The sequence below is a fragment of the Homo sapiens genome, chromosome X (genome assembly GCF_000001405.40).
Source record: "Homo sapiens chromosome X, GRCh38.p14 Primary Assembly".
NCBI classification, from domain to species: Eukaryota; Metazoa; Chordata; class Mammalia; order Primates; family Hominidae; genus Homo; species Homo sapiens.
Window position 1 is genome coordinate 87,777,649 of NC_000023.11, and position 2,382 is coordinate 87,780,030.

Sequence of the window (2,382 nt, forward strand, 5' to 3'; positions counted from 1 at the left end):
ACCCCTGGCCTCAAGTGATCTGCCCGCCTCGGCCTCCCAAAGTGCTGGGATTACAGGCATAAGCTTCTGCGGCTGGCCAAAATTCCACATATTCTTAAAGGTTCTATTCAAGTTCTATTTTATTCATGAACTCTATCTGAATCATTTTAACTAATAATCTCTCTCTTTCGACTTCAATTGTCATTAGTATTCACCTTTGGTCAACTGATATAACTGTGGCAGACTGCTAGTTGTACTCCAAAAATTCTGTTTCCTCTTTGTCATGTATACGTTGTCCATCCTCCCATGCAGGTCAGTTGGGGTCATGTGACTGAATTACTGGCAAAGCAACATGAGCAAAGGTGAAATAAACCACTTCCAAACTAAGGCTTATAACAAGTTATGTCTGATTGTGGTGTTTTAGCTATAGTTAAAAAATAAAATATGATCACTCTGACTTGGTTGTAGAAAACATCCTAAAGGTGTGGCTAGCAAGATGGCCAAATAGGAACAGCTCTGGTCTGCAGCTCCCAGCGAGATCAACGCAGAAGGCAAGTTATTTCTGCATTTCCAACTGAGGTACCCAGCTCATCTTATTGAAACTGGTTAGACAGTGGGTGCAGTCCACAGAGGGTGAGCTGAAGCAGTTTCTGGCGTTGCCTCACTCGGGAAGCGCAGGGGGTCAGGGAACTCCCTCCCTTAGCCAAGGGAAGCTGTGAGGGACTGTGCCATGAGGAATGGTGCATTCCAGCCCAGATACTATGCTTTTCCCTCAGTCTTCATAACCTGCAGACCAGGAGATTCCCTTGGGTGCCTACACCACCAGCGCCCTGGGTTTCAAGCACAAAACTGGGCAGCCATTTGGGCAGGCACCCAGCTAGCAGCAGGAGTTTTTTTTCATACCTCAGTGGTGCCTGGAATTCCAGCGAGACAGTCTGTTCACTACCCTGGAAAGGGGGCTGAAGCCAAAGAACCAAGTGATCTAGTTCAGTGAATCCCACCCCTATGGAGCACAGCAAGCTAAGATCCACTGGCTTGAAATTCTCGCTGCCAGCACAGCAGTCTGAAGTCAACCTGGGATGCTCAAGCTTGGTGGGGGGGAGGGGCATCCGCCATTACTGAGGCTTGAGTAGGCAGTTTTCCCCTCACAGTGTAAACAAAGCCAACAGGAAGTTTGAACTGGGTGCAGCCCACTGCAGCCTGGCAAAGCTGCTGTAGCCAGACTGCCTCTCTAGATTATTCCTCTTCTGGCAGGGCATCACTGAAAGAAAGGCAGCAGCCCCAGTCAGGGGCTTAAAGACAAAACTCCCATCTCCCAGGGACGGAGCACCTGGGGGAAGGGGGCGGCTGTGGGCACAGCTTCAGAAGACTTAAACGTTCCTTCCTGCCATCTCTGAAGAGAGCAGCGGATCTGCCAGCACAGCACTCGAGCTCTGCTAAGGGACAGACTGCCTCCTCTACTGGGTCCCTGACCCCAATGTCTCCTGACTGGGAGATGTCTCCTGGCAGAAGTCGAGAGACACCTCATATAGGGGACCTCTGGCTGGCATCTGGTGGGTGCATCTCTGCGACAAAGCTTCCAGAGGAAGAAATAGGCAGCAATCTTTGCTGTTCTGCAGCCTCCACTGGTGATACCCAGGCAAACAGGGTCTTGAGTGGACCTCCAGAAAACTCCAGCAGACCTGCAGCAGAGGCGCCTGTTAGAAGGAAAGCTAACAAACAGAAAGGAATAGCATCAACATCCACAAAAAGGACATCCACACAAAAACCCCATCTGAAGATCATCAACTTCAAAGACCAAAGGTAGAAAAATCCACAAAGATGATGAAAAAACAGCAAAAAAAAGGATGAAAATTCCAAAAGCCAGAATGTCCCTTCTCCTCCAGAGGATCACAATTCCCTGCCAGGAAGGGAACAAAACTGGACATAGAATGAGTTTGACAAATTGACAGAAGTAGGCTTCAGAAGGTGGGTAATAACAAACTCCTCCGAGCTATAGGAGCATGTTCTAACCCAATGCAAGGAAGCTAAGAATCTTGAAAAAAGGATAGAGGAATTGTTAACTAGAATAACCAGTTTAGAGAAGAAAATAAATGACGTGATGGAGCTGAAAAACACAACATGAGAGCTTCAAGAAGCATACATAAGTATCAATAGCCGAATCGACCAAGCAGAAGAAAGGATATCAGAGATTGAAGATCAACTTAATGAAATAAAGCATGAAGACAAGATTAGAGAAAAAAGAATGAAAAGGAACAAACAAAGCCTCCAAGAAATATGGGACTATGTGAAAAGATCAAACCTAATTTGATTGGTGTACCGGAAAGTGGTGGGGAGAATGGAACCAAGTTGGAAAATATTCTTCAGGATATTATCTAGGAGAATTTCTCCAGCCTAGCAAGA

The 2,382-nt window shown here is 46.7% G+C and overlaps 1 annotated feature.

Moving 5' to 3' along the window:
- Window positions 1,003-1,502: an enhancer, noted in NCBI's record as "H3K27ac hESC enhancer chrX:87033651-87034150 (GRCh37/hg19 assembly coordinates)". NCBI's record gives its function as "activates a minimal SCP1, AML or CMV promoter by ChIP-STARR-seq in primed H9 embryonic stem cells {active_cell/tissue: H9 hESC(primed)}" and the evidence as "EXISTENCE:reporter gene assay evidence [ECO:0000049][PMID:30033119]".